The 17,982-nt window shown below is 40.9% G+C and overlaps 2 protein-coding genes across 13 annotated transcripts in view, besides 2 other annotated features; one reads left to right on the forward strand and one right to left on the reverse strand.

Annotated features, from left to right (window-relative positions):
• The window catches only part of AVEN (apoptosis and caspase activation inhibitor), a 223,545-nt gene that overhangs the window by 132,231 nt on the left and 73,332 nt on the right, over window positions 1-17,982 (reverse strand). The window lies entirely within an intron of this gene.
• The window catches only part of CHRM5 (cholinergic receptor muscarinic 5), a 98,962-nt gene that overhangs the window by 15,515 nt on the left and 65,465 nt on the right, over window positions 1-17,982 (forward strand). The window lies entirely within an intron of this gene.
• Window positions 1,205-1,728: an enhancer, noted in NCBI's record as "H3K27ac hESC enhancer chr15:34277417-34277940 (GRCh37/hg19 assembly coordinates)". NCBI's record gives its function as "activates a minimal SCP1, AML or CMV promoter by ChIP-STARR-seq in primed H9 embryonic stem cells {active_cell/tissue: H9 hESC(primed)}" and the evidence as "EXISTENCE:reporter gene assay evidence [ECO:0000049][PMID:30033119]".
• Window positions 3,835-4,334: an enhancer, noted in NCBI's record as "H3K27ac hESC enhancer chr15:34280047-34280546 (GRCh37/hg19 assembly coordinates)". NCBI's record gives its function as "activates a minimal SCP1, AML or CMV promoter by ChIP-STARR-seq in naive H9 embryonic stem cells {active_cell/tissue: H9 hESC(naive)}" and the evidence as "EXISTENCE:reporter gene assay evidence [ECO:0000049][PMID:30033119]".

Below are 17,982 nucleotides of genomic sequence, written 5' to 3' on the forward strand. Positions count from 1 at the left end.
AGACTGAGAAACTGTCACAAATAAGAAGAGACTAAGGAAATACAAAGAATAAATGTAATGTGGTATCCTGAGTTAGAAGAGAAAAAGGACATCAGTGGAAAAAATTGGAGAAATGCAAATAAAGTCTGTGGTATACCAATGTTAATTTCTTAGTTTTGATAAAGATACCATGGTTATATAAAATAATAATATTAAGGGAAGCTGGGTAGAAAGTACACGGAAATTCACTGTATTATCTTTGTAACTCTTCTGAAAAATCTAAAAAGTATTAGAAAATAAAAAGTTTACAAAATAAGTAATTGGACCTTAATGTCATTTTATTAAGTTAATCTACATACAAGATATTCTGCAAACTCAGTCACTTTCCTCACCTGTTAGAATAGATTGATGGTAGGGTTTTTTTTTTTTGAGACAGAGTTTCACTCTTGTTGCTCAGGCTGGAGTGCAATGGCATGATCTCGGCTCACTGCAACCTCCACCTCCCTGGTTCAAGCAATTCTCCTGCCTCAGCCTCCCGCGTAGCTCAGATTACAGGCATGCTCCATCACACCCGGCTAATTTTGTATTTTCAGTAGAGACAGGGTTTCTCCATGTTGGTCAAGCTGGTCTCAAACTCCTGACCTCAGGTGATCCACCCGTCTTGGCCTCCCAAAGTGCTCGGATTACAGGTGTGAGGCACTGCACCCAGCCTATTCATAGTAGGTTTCTATATGAGTTGCTTTTCATTGAAGAACAAACATCTTCCCAGGACTTCGGTCTTTAAAAATGAGACAAACGTTAGTAGCAAACATAGGGACCTTTGATGCAGTAAATCACACCCAATAACCACAAATAACAGTTCATTCACTCATTCAGCAAGCTCTGTCATCATGAACCATGTGCCATGTCCTGTGTCATACACTAACAATGAAAAGATCTACCCTCAAGAGATGAACCAACCAATATTTTCACCTCAAGAGCAGTGGAATCAGAAAAGCCTCCTTGACCTTGACCAGCTGAACCTTTCCTGGGTTATCCCACAGCATTCTGTATCCCACAGCACTCTGTACCTGTCACACTGAACTGTATTTGTTGGTTTCCTCACATCTATATCACCTCACAAGAGATATTTGCCAATAACTATGCAGGGTCTGAGATTCCACCTTATCTGTAAGCTAACAGGTTAGCCTGTTACTGTTTCATGGGTGCTAGCAGAAGACATGAGACACCTGGGCCAGAGACAAAAGGTGTCTCTGGCAAAAGGAGTAGTCAAACTTCATGTTAATTTTTGTTGGTTCCTCATTGCCCCCGTCTCAGAGTGGTAATTCAAAGAGTCCTGTACATGCTGTGGGCTTTATTACAGGGAAGGAACACTGAGCTGAGTGTTCCTTTGTTACCAGAAAGGAACACTGAGCTGAGTGCATGCCCTCAGCTCAGTGTTCCTTTTTCAGTAAGAGTAAGTTCCTTGAGTAAGTAGAAGCAACCCTGGGGGAGATATTACCTCATCCCTCAGGGTTGCTTGCTGGAAACACAACTATGAGAAATTCAGACAAAGAGCAGTCAGAGCCTTGCATTCTTGACATACCCATCAGGAGCAGTCTGGGCCACTGCAATTCAGCTCTCCCAACAATATTCTGAAAGGCAGGCACTGTGTTGTAGGCATTTCTGTACCCTCAGCACCTGACATGATGCATGATACACCTGATTCCTTAGTGTTTGGTAAGTAAGTACCTATAAGCTAGAAATCTTGAGTTTGAAGCCAAAGACTACTGTTCCCAATTCTGTGGCCATGTACGCAGTCACTTAATCTTTTTAAGCTTCATTCTATTAATTTCTAGGAAATGTTCAAAAATAGAAGTTCAAGAAATGTTCAGTGAAAAAACTATCTCTAAGGATTCTTCTCTAATACTGAAAGGTTCATGATTCTCTCAAGGGCAGAATGCCAGAAAGCCCAGGTGCCTGATATCTCTCTGACAGATCTAACTCACATAGCATTCCCCCATGGAGGCAGAAATTCATGATGGCATAACAAATTTAGGATTCTATTAAGTTGATTTTTGTTTCTCAGGGTTATTTGTGAAAACCTCACATTTCACTGTAAATTTTTTTTTTTGTTTTTTGTTTTTTGTTTTTTGAGATGGACTCTCGCTCTGTCGCCCAGGCTGGAGTGCAGTGGCGCCATCTCGGCTCACTGCAAGCTCTGCCTCCCGGGTTCACGCCATTCTCCTGCCTCAGCCTCCCGAGTAGCTGGGACTACAGGCACCTGCCACCACGCCTGGCTAATTTATTTTTGTATTTTTAGTAGAAACGGGGTTTCACCATGTTAGCCAGGATGGTCTCGATCTCCTGACCTCGTGATCCACCCACCTCGGCCTCCCAAAGTGCTGGGATTACAGGCGTAAGCCACCGCGCCCGGCCCACTGTAAATTTTTATAAACTCTGTATAAACACAAGGCAGAAGACTCTACAACTACAGAATTTTAAAGGTAAATATAAAACCACATTAATTATCTACTTAGCTAGAAAGTAAGAGGTAAAGAAAGCAAGCTTTCTGAAACTTAATGATTTTTTAAAAACCAGCAGTAATATTATTAAAGACAATATTTTCCTTCATGTGCAATACACAGGATATAATAGATCATGACCATAAGGCTCTATATCAGGTTTTTGTTTTTGTTTTTTTTGAGACAGAGTCTCACTCTGTCACCTAGGCTTGAATGCAGTGGCGCAATCTTGGCTCACTGCAACCTCCGCCTCCCAGGTTCAAGCGATTCTCCTGTGTCAGCCGCCCGAGTAGCTGGGACTACAGGCACGTGCCACCATGCCCAGCTAATTGTTTTGTATTTTTAGTAGAGATGGGGTTTCACCATGTTAGCCAGGATGGTCTCGATCTCCTGACCTCGTGATCCGCCCACCTCGGCCTCCCAAAGTGCTGGGATTACAGGCATGAGCCACCGCGCCCAGCCCAGGTTCTTTTCAAGTGCTAAATAAACAGATAAAATATAGATTTACTTTTCCAAGAGGAATTCTCACCACAGGTTATGAAAAGCAGTATGTTGACATCCTCACCACTCAATGCCTCTAAATTAAACAGTATATATTCATAATTCATTAGCATTAATTCCATTCTCAGGTCACTGAAAATTCTGAGACCAGTGCAGTATTCTCACAACAAATTATGTGAGGATATTCTTTCCATCCCACTCCACATATGACAGTGACTAAGAATGTACAATGCAGTATCCCATATGTGCTTTATTCTTTTGCATATGTCACCTTTCTGTTGGAAAAGGTACATTTGAAGGTTTTTTCATTTGATAAACTAAGATCAAATTCATTTATTATGCTGGCTTGCTTTTTATTTAACAAAAGGGGAAGGGAAAGGGAAAGGCCAGGAAAGGAAAAGAGAAAAACAATGGACAGCCACCAGACAGTCTCTTGCCTCCACAGTGTTAGGATGGAATAAACCCACAGACTCAAGGTCTTCCCTACTCCAGCCTCAGATTACGCTCCACTCTCCTCCCCAGCTGCAGCCTCTGGGACCATCTCTTTGCCCATCCCCTTCTTCTCAGGCCAGCGAACAATGGTTTTTTTCTCCAACCATGAGCTCCCAAATCTACCAGAATTATTCCACTGAGGTCAAGGCTGCTGCCAGCTGCTTGGTCCACCTGCATCTGCAGGCCTCCTCTATTTATCTCTCTCTTTCTCTCTTTGGGCTTTTGTTTCAACTGCAACAGTGTGGCCCCAGAAGGCAGGAACCACTTCTGCTACAAGTTGGCAAACAAGCATGCCTAGAAGATTCATAATCAGCGCTGCATGCAGAAGCTGCCCCAAGATGAGTGGGATCACACCCTGGATGCCTAGGAAGCTTTCTGGCCCCATGGAAAACCCTAACCAGGTCCTGCTGGGTCTGCATGCCCTGGGTTATGGCCACACAGACCCACATTCTCTGTGACTGTCTACACAAGGAGGTGAAATGCATCAAGAAGGAAAACCACCTGACCAACTTCCATAGGCCAAAAGACTCACCCTCCAACACAACTGGGAGCCTCACAGTGCAGTGCCCTGAGGCCTGGCTGCAGCTCCCAAGCCTTGGGGCTTCTGTCCAGGTGCCTGCCTCCAGCCCAAAGGCAGCTTCTTAACCAACCACAAACCTTCTCTGAAGCTGCAGACCAAGTGTAAACAACACAGCTTCTTTTTTTGCAGAAACAAAAAATGTGTATCTTAGACAGTGATATACAATAAACATAGTTTTTTTTAGTTTCAGATAATCAACAATATATTTCGATTTTAATGAACAGTATCAAGTGCAAAAAATTCCAACCTTGAAGCCAGGCATACTTAAGTTTGAATCCTGATTCTGCTACCTAAGAGATATGAGAATTTTGTACAAATTGTTGAACTTTATTTCTAAGGCTTAGTTTCTACATGTATAGAATAGAGATAATGAAACCTACCCTATTAAGTTAAAGTTAGGATTTAATGAAATAGAGAATGTGCCCGTGTAACACATCTCACACACAGCCTGCAACTGGTAGGTTTCAGGAAATGACAGCACTGATGACCGCCATCAGCTTGTTAGCTTAAGGTCACCTGTGGTTGCAGGGTCACTAGTGGCCACAGGGCTCATTTACACACACACGTCTTGCCTATTTATGAAGCCTAACCCTTCTGAGGACACTGGGTGTGCTCACTTAACACACAAGTAAAACACTGTAGAATTATCGCAAAATTAAAAGACAAGAGAACAGAATTACAGGGTTGAAAAAACTCCTTGATAAATGACCTTGCTCTATCCCATGCAGCAAGAAGGACCATTGTTGAACCCATTTCCATTAAATGAAACCAAATCCATTTTGAAAGATTTTCAGTAAAGGTGATTTCCCAACTATCCCTTGGATGCCCAGTTAACACTCATAACACAAATGGCTAATCTAAATCCCCTGTATTTTAGTTTAAGCACATTTGATTTTTTTTTCCTTTGTCTTTACAGCTTGGAAAACACAAATTATTAAACCATTTCTCAGGCTTCTTTTGCTTAGCATCCTAAACCTTTCATCATAAATCCTGTTTTTTCTTATTTTTAATCATCTTTCAAGTTCCCTGTATCACCTCTATAGTTGCAGAAGTTAAAATAGTTCAACAAATCCCACACAAACACACACAAAAAAGCTAAATAAAAGAGAAGATGAGTTAATGATCATTTATTTTTCTAATTACATATATATGTTAGTACCATGCTTGGATATTTTCATGACAGCCCCGTGTTAATGACCTAATTTCAAATATGACCCACAGTATATTCTAACCCAACAGTTTGTTTCTCTTCACCTAAAAAGTAATTCTTAGCTTTTGTATAGAACTTTATAATTTGTAAAATAATTCCACATGATCGTCACAACTACCCCTAGATTAAAGCAAGGAGGTATTATTTCTAACAGCTGGTTTTGTTTGGAGTTTAAAAAAAAAAAAAAGGTTCTAAGACAACCAAAACCAAAACTAAGATCCCCTGACGCCCACCAAGTGTTCCTTCTATTCCACCACCTAAACACATATACTACACTTCAGGCACACTACTGAAAAGATGCCTTTCCTACCACAATACTAACACTACAGCCGTCCCTTTTCATAGTCTCTGAATTCATGTTTCATGTGTTTTATTTTAGAAGAGCTTCTACCCTGATTTTCTTTAAGGACTTTATCAAAAATAACCTTTTATTATCTTTCCAGATCAAGTAAAGAGAATTTATCAACTTCCAATTAAATATGACATTGATCAGAAGCATTTATTTGCTCTCCTTCCCAAAACCCACCTAAAATTATCTTAATTTTTTTAAGGAGAGGTATGAGTCTAAAAGATAATCATACAAAGAAGAGACAATAGCAATTGAGACGGATACACTAGATGCTATTAGAACGTGGTACCCAGATGAGGCCGGGTTCAGTGGCTCACCTCTAATCCCAGCACTTTGGGAGGCCAAAGCAGGAGGATCACTTGAGGTCAGGAGTTGAGACCAGCCTGGCCAACATGGTGAAACCCCGTCTCTACTAAAAATACACAAAATTAGCCGGGCGTGGTGGTGGGCGCCTATAATCCCAGCTACTCAGGAGGCTGAGGCAGGAGAATCACTTGAACCTGGGAGGCAGAGGTTGCAGTGAGCCGAGATTGCATCGTTGCAATCCAGACTGGGCAACAGGGTGAGACTCCGTCTCAAAAAAAAACAAAACAAAACAAAAAAAACTTAGCCAGGCGTTGAGGTGCGTGCCTATAGTCCCAGCTACTCAGGAGGCTAAGGCAGGAGAATCGCTAGAACCTGGGAGGCAGAGGCTGCAGTGAGCCGAGATCACGCCACTGCCCTCCAGCATGGGCGACAGAGTGAGACCCTGTCTGAAAAAAAAAAGAAAAGAAAAGAATGTAGTACCCAGATGATTTGATGATGCAGCCAGTTGTCTAACTGAAGAGTAACTGGAATATAAGTCATTTGATAACCAGAAGAGTATCTGGAATACAACTTAAACTCAGAAAAGATTCACTAACGTTCTCTCATTAAGCCATGTCCAGTATAACTAGCTTAAATTATCTAATAATAAACATTTAAAAATAAACAGTCCTTCATGTGAACTTGAAAGTACAGTCTCTGCTAGCGATCCTATGGCTCGGCTCTGGGGGCCTGGGACCGGAAAGATAACCACAGCAGCCAAAAATGGTGATAGTGAAAACAATGGCTGCTCTGGGGACCGAAACCTACCACCATCAAATCAAGTATCATTTTGATGACTTTAATTTGCCGTAAGACGAATTTTTAAAAGGAACAGACTAAATTGGATGAAAGCTGGATACCTCTGGAAATAACAAAATTCAACAGGTTAAATTACCTAACAACAGATTTTAATATAATAGAAGCACTGAACAAATCAAAGGCAGAACTAATGAAAATACAGATAAAACTAAAATCAGAAGATTTTTCCAAACAAACCTCCCTCTGATTAGTACAAAATGTCCCTCTGGCAACTGATGAGTAGAAAAAAATGATGTAAAACCAGATCCATTCATATGAAAGGCTTCCCAATGGATGCAACTCCTGATGACATAATTATTTTATGTCTAATCTTTTAAAGATTAGAAGATAAAGGACAAGCACTAAATATTCAAATGAGAAAAACATTACACAAAGCATTTAAGCAATCAACACGTGCAGTGTTTGACGGTATTAAATCCAATAAAAAGTTTATAGAGACCCTGGCCCTGAACCCTGGTATAAAAATACAGACCTTCTAACACTTTTCAAGGAGGATTATTTTGCAAAACAAGAATGAAGCAAAACAAAGTATAAACTAAATTCAGAGCTAAGCAAGAGCAAGAAGAAAAATGGAAGTGCTGCAAAAGATAAATGCTTGAGAGGATGGATACCCAATTTTCCATGATGTGATTATTATGCATGGCATACCTGTACCAAAATATCTCATATACCCAGTAAATATATATATCTACTACGGACCCACAAAAATAAACTTTAAAAAAAAAAAAACAGAAGTGCTGAGGATGCTCAAATGAAATGTCTAGATTGAATGTTTGCTGAAATTTTGGGATGACTTAGATAATGTGACCTGTAGAAAGCACCCACATATCCTTTTCTCAAATCATGGGGAAATAAAATGGATACACTTTATCAGTAGAGCAAAAGAGAGATTAATTCTATGTAAGAAAAAAGCTAAAGAAACACTAAATAAAGCAGAAGCAGCCAGCAATTGTAACCTATGACTAAGAAACAAGGAAGAGATGTGGAAATTACTAGACAGAAAGGTAGAAAAAGAAACACTGAAAAAAACTCATGCAAAATCACCAAGAATCTCTAAACAAATGAGAATCAAAAGGTCATAGATTTAAAGGAAAAAGAAAGGGAAATAAAGCTGCCTAGGCTGGATCTGCTAAAGGAAATGCACAACTTCAGGGCAGGAAAATGATAGTTCAGGATGATGAAAATGATGCAGCTGGACCAGCAAAAACAAAGAATTGCTTCAAAACAACAGAAAACACAAAATGGCGCTGGAGACTAGCAGTTTAGCACACAAATTCTGCTCTTATCTTTTGAAGGTTTTTAAAAAGAAAATCAGGCCGGGCGCGATGGTTCACGCCTGTAATCCCAGCACTCTGGGAGGCCAAGGCAGGGGGATCACGAAGTCAGAAGATTTGAGACCATCCTGGCTAACAAGGTGAAACCCCGTCTCTACTAAAAAAATACAAAACAGTTAGCTGGGCGTGGTGGCGGGCACCTGTAGTCCCAGCTACTCGGGAGGCTGAGGGAGGAGAATGGCGTCAGCCCGGGGGGCGGAGCTTGCAGTGAGCCGAGATTGCGCCACTGCACTCCAGCCTGCGCGACAGATCAGGACTCCGTCTCAAAAAAAAAGAAAAAAGAAAATCAAATTAGGCCCAATATTCAATATTCAGCTACAAGGAAAAGTTTTTTTGTTATCGGAGTTTTCCTTGTTTTTATTTTTTTGGTTATCCAATTGAAAATTTTTTTAGCCCTGTCAGCCAGAACAAATTTTTTAATTTATAGTTCTGTTTGTGTTATTTCAGATGTTTTAAATATCAAAGGGAAGAATCTTCTTCTACTATATTGCCTTTGTAATATGAGACTATATTGGCACAAACTATATACCATACAAGAAGAGGGAAAAAAATGAGCTGAATCAATGAGGACAAATAAAACTGTCTTGTTGCCTCATGGAAAGAAAAGGTTCGAGGTTTAATTTAAAAGTACAGGCTGCTAGAGTAATATCCTTTCTTTTCCCTTCAGTCTAATTGTTGGCACAAGGAACAGAGGAGGGAAGAAATTCCAATGTCATTACAATTAAAATTTCCTACCCAAAATAGCTTTTCATAAAATTAAATTGAAGAAAATATATAATAGTTTTAAGCAAAAATATGCACAGACAACAACTATACTGACCAAACTGCAGTCTGGTTATTTCGTTTTTATTTGTATCTCTAAAAATAGTGTTTACAGACTTGCACATAATATTTTCCCCACGTTTTCTTCAATATTGATCCAGTGCATTCTGCTCACACTGTTAAACATTTTTCTAACTCTGGCTATCTGTGACATCTTGAAAGGAACAGACAATGCATATTGCATGAATTCAATGATTTGACTTTTGGGGAAAAAAAATGAAGGGCAGAAGAAATTTCTCATAGATCTTACTTTTTACGTTTGAAGGTAAGAGTGGGGTGCCATTTTCAAAGCTCTTGAAACGTAACTTAGAACTGCCAAGAATACTGTTCAAAAAGAAAAGCCAAAGGCATGATTATCTCTTTCAGAGACTAACAGAAAGAGTTCTACAAAGACACCTAAAGACTCACAATCTTACCAGAAAAAGTATGACTTTGAACAACCGTCCCCTTTCCCATATCCACCACTAATAAAAATGAGAGTGTCACTGTCAGTGGTCAGAAACAAACAGAGCAGGCAATGCCCGTGTGGCACAAGTGGAAGGAGGCAGGCTGGAAAGGGCTGCCTCTCCAAAAATGGTTCCCACCTCTATGGTGGTAACAGAAATTTTACCATTAGAAATCCACTTTTAAAGAGTTTTATTCCTTTTATAAAGAGATCTGTAAAATAAAAAATTGATAATACATATGAGCTTATAGAATAATTATTAAACCAACATAAATAACAATCATCCAGGCCAGGAAATAGAATACTGCCAACACCACACCTGCTACCGGGCCCTCCTCAATCATTACACCTCATCTCCCCACTAGAGGTGACCGCAATCATGATATCTGGAATAATCATTTCCTTGATTGTCACTTTAGTATTTAAATATACATCCTTAAAAAATAGGGTTTTTTTTTCCTGTGTTTGAACTTTATATAATAGAATCATACTAACGAATTCTGTGGGCATGTTTCTTTTACTTCATGCTATGTTGAAAAGATTCATCCACTTATTTAAGTATTCATTCCACTATTAATGAATATTTGCGTTGCTTCCATCTGAGGCTCTTCTGAACATACAGCTGTGAACATTTGGGCACACACGTGCTGGAGTTTCTCTAGAACAGGGGGTCCCCCACCCCCAGACCATGGATCAGTACCGGTCTGTGGCTTGTTAGGAACCGGGCTGCATAGCAGGAGGTGAGTGGTGGGCAAGTGAGCAGATTCTTCTCTATTTACAGCCACTCCCTACTGCTTGCATTAGTGCCTGAGCGCCACCTCCTGTCAGATCAGCAGCAGCATTCGATTCTCATAGGAGCCAAACCCTATTGTGAACTGCACATGCAAGGGATCCAGGTTGCACGCTCCTTATGAGAATCTAAGGCCTGATGATCTGTCAGTCTCCCATCATTCCCAGATGGGACCATCCAGTTGCAAGAAAACAAGCTTAGGACTCCCATTGAGTCTACATTATGGTGAGTTGTATAATTATTTCACTACATATCACAATGTAATAATAATAGAAATAAAGCACATAATAAATGTAACACGCTTGAATCATCCTGAAACCGTCATCCTCACCCTGGTCTGTGGAAAAATTGTCTTCCACAAAACCGGTCCCTGGTGCCAAAAAGGTTGGGGACCTCTGCTCTAGAGTATCCTTTAAGGGTGAAAGTGCTAGATCTTCAGTTTTATCAGAAAATGGCAAACTATCTTCCAAAGTGAGCATCGACATATACATACAGTGTGTGTGAAATAGAAATTCACTTTTTAATTACAAGTCTTCAAAAATTCACTGTTACAATGGAAATCTACTTAGAGAATATATGTTAAGCTATATTCTCTACTCTTGAAGTTCTATATTCTCTACTCTTAGATAAAGGTGTACTCTTAGATAAAGGTCTATCTTCCAAATAACATTTGAGAATTGGACCAGAGGTCCAGCTAATTTGGGAAGAAAAAAATAACATACAGGCAACCATCCACATTGGTAGATTTAACCAACCATAGATCAAAAATATTTTTTAAAAATAAAAAATAATAATACTGGCCAGGCACAGTGGCTCACACCTGTAATCTCAGCACTTTGGGAGGCCAAAGAGAGAGGATCACTTGAGACCAGGAATTCAAGACCAGCCTGGGCAACACAGCAAGGTCCTGTCTCTACAAAAAAATGAAGAAATCAGCCAGGTGTGGGTGGCACACCTCTATAGTCCCACCTACTCAGGAGGCTGGGGCAGGAGGATTGCTTGAGCCCAGGAGGTCAAGGCTGCAGTGAGCTATGATCATGCCACTGCACTCCAGCCTGGGTGACAGAGGAAAACCCTGTCTCTCTAAAAATAAATGAATAAAGAAAATTATTTTAAAATAACAATACAACAATAAAAATACAAATAAAAAATAATACAGTATAACTTTACATAGCACTTACATTGCATTAGATATTATAAGTGATTTAAAGATGATTTAAAGTATATAAAGGAAGGTATCTATACTTTTTGCATAGGTTATATGCAAATATTTTGCCATTTTATATCAGAGACTTAGCATTCCTAGATTTTGGTATCCACAGGCGTCCTGAAACCATCCCTCTTGGATACCAAGGGAAAACTTTTGAGTCCTTAAGTCCTCAAAAGCAATTGCAACAAAACCAAAAATTGACAGGTGGGACCTAATTAAACTAAAGAGTTTCTGCTCAGACATTTTTCGAAGTTACTGAAATGACTAAATGAATCAGATGCTTCAGACCACACCAAACTGCAGGTCATAAGCCATTAGTGGGACATTATATCATTTGGGTTTTTAAAATGCTGCTGCAGCTCCCAGCGTGATCAATGCAGAAGACAGTGATTTCTGCATTTCCAACTGAGGTACCTGGTTCATCTCATTCGGACTGGTTGGACAGTGGGTGCAGGCCACGGAGGGCGAGCTGAAGCGGGGCGGGGCGCTGCCTCACCCTGGAAGCGCAAGGGGTCAGGGGATTTCCCTTTCCTAGCCAAGGGAAGCCATGACAGACTGTACCTGGAAAATCTGGACACTTCCGCCCAAATACTGCGCTTTTCCAACAGTCTTAGCAAATGGCACACCAGGAGTATATCCCACACATGGCTAGGTGGGTCCCACACCCACACAGCCTTGCTCACTGCTAGCGCAGCAGTCTGAGATAGACCTGTGAGGCAGCAGCCTGGCAGGGGGAGGGGCGTCTGCCATTGCTGAGACTCGAGTAGGTAAACATTGTGGCTGGGGAAGCTTGAAGTGGACAGAGCCCACTGCAGCTTAGCAAGGCCTGCTGCCTCTGTAGACCCCACCCCTGGGGGCAGGGCATAGCTGGACAAACGGCAGCAGAAACTTCTGCAGACTTAAACGTCCCTGTCTGACAGCTCTGAAGAGAGGTGTGGTTCTCCCAGCACAGTGTTTGAGTTCTGAGAACCGACAGACTGCCTCCTCAAGTGGGTCCCTGAACCCCATGTAGCCTAACTGGGAGACAACTCCCAGTAGGGGCCGACTGACACCTCATACAGGCGGGTGCCCCTCTGGGACGAAGCTTCCAGAGGAAGGATCAGGCAGCAACATTTGCTGTCCTGCAATATTTGCTGTTCTGCAGCCTCCGCTGGTGATACCCAGGCAAACAGGGCCTGGAGTGGACCTCCCACAAACTCCAACAGACCTGCAGCTGAGGGACCTGACTGTTAGAAGGAAAACTAACAAACAGAAAGGAATAGCATCAACATCAACAAAAAGGACATCCACACCAAAACCCCATCTGTAGGTCACCAGCATCAAAGACCAAAGGTAGATAAAACCACAAAGATGGGGAGAAACCAGAGCAGAAAAGCTGAAAATTCTAAAAACCAGAGCGCCTCTTGTCCTCCAAAGGAACGCAGCTCCTCGCTAGCAAGAGAACAAAGCTGGATGGAGAATGACTTTGATGAGCTGACAGAAGTAGGCTTCGGAAGGCTGGTAATAACAAACTTCTCCCAGCTAAAGGAGGCTGTTCGAACCCATCGCAAGGAAGCTAAAAAGCTTGAAAAAAGATTAGATGAATGGCTAACTAGAATAAACAGCGTAGAGAAGACCTTAAATTACCCGATGGGGCTGAAAACCATGGCACAAGAATGTAGCAAACAATAAAATGTAACATTCTTCAGGAAAAAAAGCAAAATTAGAACTTCTAGAAAATATAGGAGAACATCTTTAACCTTGGGAGAAAGATGGATTTCTAAAGGCATAAAACAGCATAAACAGTAGGATAGAAAATTGATAAATTCAACTAAAATTTAAAACAATGCACTGAAAGACACACTATAGAAGTGAATCTCATATCAGGAGATACCTGCAAACACAAATATCAAAAGATAAGTATCAAGACTACTTTTTTTTTAACCCACAAATCAATAAGAAACAAAATAGCCAAATGGTCAAAGAATGTGAGCAGCAGTTCACAAAGAAAGCAAGCACCACAAATACAAAGATGTTCAACCTCAGTAATAACTAAGGAAATGTAAACTAAAAACTCCAAAGACGAGGTCTCCACACCAACTCACAGCCAGGCACACCCGTATTTTTATATAAGACTATATCATTACCGTCATCCGCAACCCCCTGCCCCACCAAATCTCAACGTCAAACATTCTAATCTACAGCCACCACTTCCCACCTCTCCAACTCACACTTTCTCAAGAAGGTCAATAATCCTTCTGCCCTGAAAAAATCTGTAGTCCTGTGATCCCAATATCTTTTTACTGCCCCTCATCTTCTCTCATATCTTCACTTATTTCCTTATCCCACTTAAATTCATTTCAATCATTCTAATCATCTCCTTTTCCCTCTCTCATTTCATTGCATTTGCTCTGCTAAACTGTAATCATGATTAAGTCCTACCCTTCCGTCCGGTCTTTCTGGGCCTGCACCCATACAGCACAATATGAGTCAGGGAAAAGTATACCTGTTCTCACCTTAAATTTATGAATACCAACTTCATGTGGGCCCCTATTGTCACCCAACATCTATACCACATTTTCCTACTTGGAAAATAGGAAACTATACTTTCCCACTTCCTTGACAACTATTTCTTACCTTCTGCTCTCTCCTTCCACTTCCAGTACCTCCTCCACAACACTTATCCATGGTTTTCTTAGACCACTTCCTCAAGCCTCCATGACATCTACCCATCTACCCATATCTATGCCCATATATTCTGCCTTTCCTCCAATTACAGTTGGAAAACTGCCCAAGCCCCAGCAATGGGCCATCCCTCCACCTGCACAATAGATCCTATCAAGCTCATATCTACTAAAGAACACAGATCCAGGAATTCTCACCCCTCCCCTTATGATTTTTGTCCCCTTTTCTGGATCTATCAACAAGTAAACATGTAGTTATTTCTCCCACCTTTAAAAAAATGTCTTAACTGGCCAAGCATAGTGGCTGACATCAGTAATCCCAGGACTTTGGGAAGCCAAGGCAGGATTGTTTGAGCCCAGGAATTCGAGACCAGCCTAAGCAACATAAGAAGACCCTGTCACTACAAAAGAAATGCCAAAAAAAGAAAAAATTAAAAAGTCTTGACTCACTTCTCCCACCAGCCCATTATTCTCCTTTCCTTTATAACAAAACTCCTTAAAATTAAGTCATTTATACCTGCTGTCTCAAACATCTCTTCCCACATTCTTTTTAAATTCAAGAAAAAATTTATGCCACCACTCCAACAAAACTGCACTTGTGAAGATCACCAATAACCTTCCTGTTAAATTTAACAGTCAATTCTTCATTGTCATCAACTGCATTTGATACAGATCTCTCCTCCTGCTTCAAAACACTTAAAGACACTACACTCTCTGGTTCTTTCTTCTACCACTCATGCTCAGTCTCCTTTGCTGGTCTCTTCTCTTTCCCCTAAACTCTAGACACTGTGGTGCCTGGGAATCAGTACTTCTCTAGGTAATAACTCCCCCTGTCATCTCATACATTCTCACGACTTTAAATATCATCTATAGGCTGGCATCACCCAAATGTATTATTGCCAACCCAGGCCTGGATCCTGAACCCCACATTCCTCTATCCAGCAGCCTGCTCCATGTCGCCTATTAGATGTTGTGCTGGGTCTCTTCCATGTGCCAATGCAGATTTATCCTCCACCCTTCTCCAACCTGTTCTACCCTAGAAGGTTGACCAATATGGATTACAACTTCCCTTGTCTTCTGGCTTCCAGTAGGTTAGACTTATGGAAGCCTTGGCAGAGGGAGGAAGAGAATGTTTATTCCTCTGACTCTCTCAGAGTGGGGTCATCTTCACTGGCTGAGTCCCCTCACCGAAGGTGATTCATTCTCCCAAGGCCAACTCTCTATGACTCCCTTCAAATTTCCAGTAACTAGGGTGGTAACATCTCTGCCGCTACTTGCCCTCTCAACACAGCACTACCTCAGTGCTTTCATTAGACTCTACACATACCTTTGTAAATGATTCCTTTGTCAAAGTGTTCAATTATATTGAGTGTGCCAGCCATTTATTAAGGAATTCTGACTGCAACAGGTATCAAAGTGACATCTCACTTTTAATACATGCAACACTGGTACCTCCTATAACTTACACACCTCAGTTAAGGGCAACTCCCTTCTTCTCACTGTTCAGACCCAAAACCTAGTGTCATCCTTACGTATCTTTTTCTCTCATACCCAGCATTTGCAAGTGCTCTCTGCTCTTCTCTCTACGTAGATCTAACCCAACCACTTTTCACCACCTCCACTGCTCTCCTCTGGACCCAGCAACCACCACCGCTGCTTACCTGGATTATTATTAGTGGCTTCCTAACTAGTCTACCTGCTACTAGTAGTAGCAGTGGCTTCCTAACTAGTCTACCCGCTCCCCTCTTGCCAGTCTTCAGTTCCTTCCAACACAGCAGAGTGATCCTGTTAACACAGGAGTGTTATATCACTCTTCTCTTCAAACCCTCCGCTGGTTTTTCATCTCACTCAGAATAAAAGAAAACATCTTTACAATGGTCTACAATACTACGCGATCTGGCTGGATAATGCCTTTCTGACCCCATCGCATATTCGCTCACGTTGCTTCTGCCACACTGGCCTTCCTTGCGATTCCCTATCCTCCTATCTCAAAGCCTTTGAGCTTGCTATTCCCTTTGCCTGGGACACTTTTCCCATAGATATCCTCACTTGCTCCCTCACCCTCCTCAGATCTTTGCTCAAATGTTATATTCTCAGTAAGACCCCTGGCTACTTCTAAAACTGGTTAACAGCCCTTCCTCATTTTATTTCTATTCTAAGCAATTATAGCATTTAACATTTTATATACTCTTCTTGTTTGTCTCTACCCTCTAGAAAGTCAACTCTGTGAGACAGGTGTCTATATCTGTTCTGTTCACCACTCTATGTCCAGCCTCTAAGCCAATAGCTGGAACAATGGGTACTTAAATATCTGTTGAATTAACTACACTAGATACCATTCAATCAACTGGTCACAATTTAAAAGTCCAACAGTACTAGCTATTTGCAGAGATGACGAACACCAGGAACTCTCTCATCTTTACCGTGGAAAGCAATTTGGCAATATCTAGAAAAGTTTATGATTGCACACCTAAGGAACCAACAATATTTTTTCTCAGTTGTCTATTTATTTATACAAACAAGGATAGTACACTAGAAAGCAGAATTGTTTCAAGGAGTATGGTCAGCTTACCTAGAAAACACTGCATACTCTAGAATTTTTATTATCAGAGAATGAAGTTGACCTCTCGAAAGTAAACCAATATAGCACCAAAACACTGAGTATGAAGAAAGCATGGAAGCTCTTCTCAGTCTTATGCTATCCTGAGAAGAAACTGATAAATCAGCAACAGAGTGGGAAAGAAATGTAAGCACATATCAAAAGACAAGACAGCTGCAATTACCAAAAAAACCAAAACCAATCACAGATAAACAAGCCACTTCAGAAGAAATCAGTAAGCAAAGAGACTACAAGAAAAATACATGAGAGACTCAATCCATGCCAGGTTTTTAATTATATATAAAATGCTAAAATAAATAACCAAAATCATAAACCAGAGGACAGGCCTGCTAGGTTGGACTAGAATTTTTTTTTTTTTTTTTTGAGACGGAGTTTTGCTCTTGTTGCCCAGGCTGGAGTGCAGTGGTACGATCTCAGCTCACTACAACCCCCACCTCCCAGGCTGAAGCAATTCTCCTGCCTCAGCCTCCCTAGTAGCTGGGATTACAGGTGCCCGCCACCACGCCCAGCTAATTTTTTGTGTTTTTAGTAGAAACGGGGTTTCACTATGTTGGCCAGGATGGTCTCGAACTCCTGACCTCAGGCAATCTACCTGCCTCGGCCTCCCAAAGTGCTGGGATTACAGGCGTGAGCCACCATGCCCAGCCTGGACTAGAATTTTTAACTGCCTTCCAACATTTATGAAGTATCTTTTTTTTGACAGATACTAGTAACTGACTACACAACTGATTGAATTAAATCTACTTTAGTCCACAAGTTAATTTCATTGTATTACTTCAATTTTCTCCCCCTAGATCTTCTGGCAGAACAGCTGTTGAGAATTAAAACTAACCAGCTCATATTTTACCTTCATTCCCCTTCTCCCACCTTGAAGAAAAGTGCTTATAAACCCATAATTGGCCAAAATATAGGTACCAAGAGGGAAGCACTCATTTTACAGGAAAAATTATTTAGTGTTACCAGTTCTTGAACAGTCAATGAGTTGAGAGCAATCCACAAACCTAAAGAAGTTATGCTATTTGAATCATCTACGGTAATGACGAATCCTGTGCTCCTGACTCACAATTTTATGATCTACTTCTTTCCTGCTCGGAAAAGCACATTCTATTAAGTTAGAAGAGAATGCATCACTTTATTGTTCTTAGTCTGGTGCCAGCATTCAAAAATACAGGCAGATAAAGAAGAAAGGTAGAACTAAACAGCAACATCAAAGTCATGAGGAAGAAAAAATTCAAAGCAGTCCCAAAGTATTATTTTTGTTTTACTTCCCTGCTTCTCACATCTGCATCCTTTATATCTTTTTAACCTGGCAATAATTA

This window comes from Homo sapiens, chromosome 15 (genome assembly GCF_000001405.40).
Source record: "Homo sapiens chromosome 15, GRCh38.p14 Primary Assembly".
NCBI classification, from domain to species: Eukaryota; Metazoa; Chordata; class Mammalia; order Primates; family Hominidae; genus Homo; species Homo sapiens.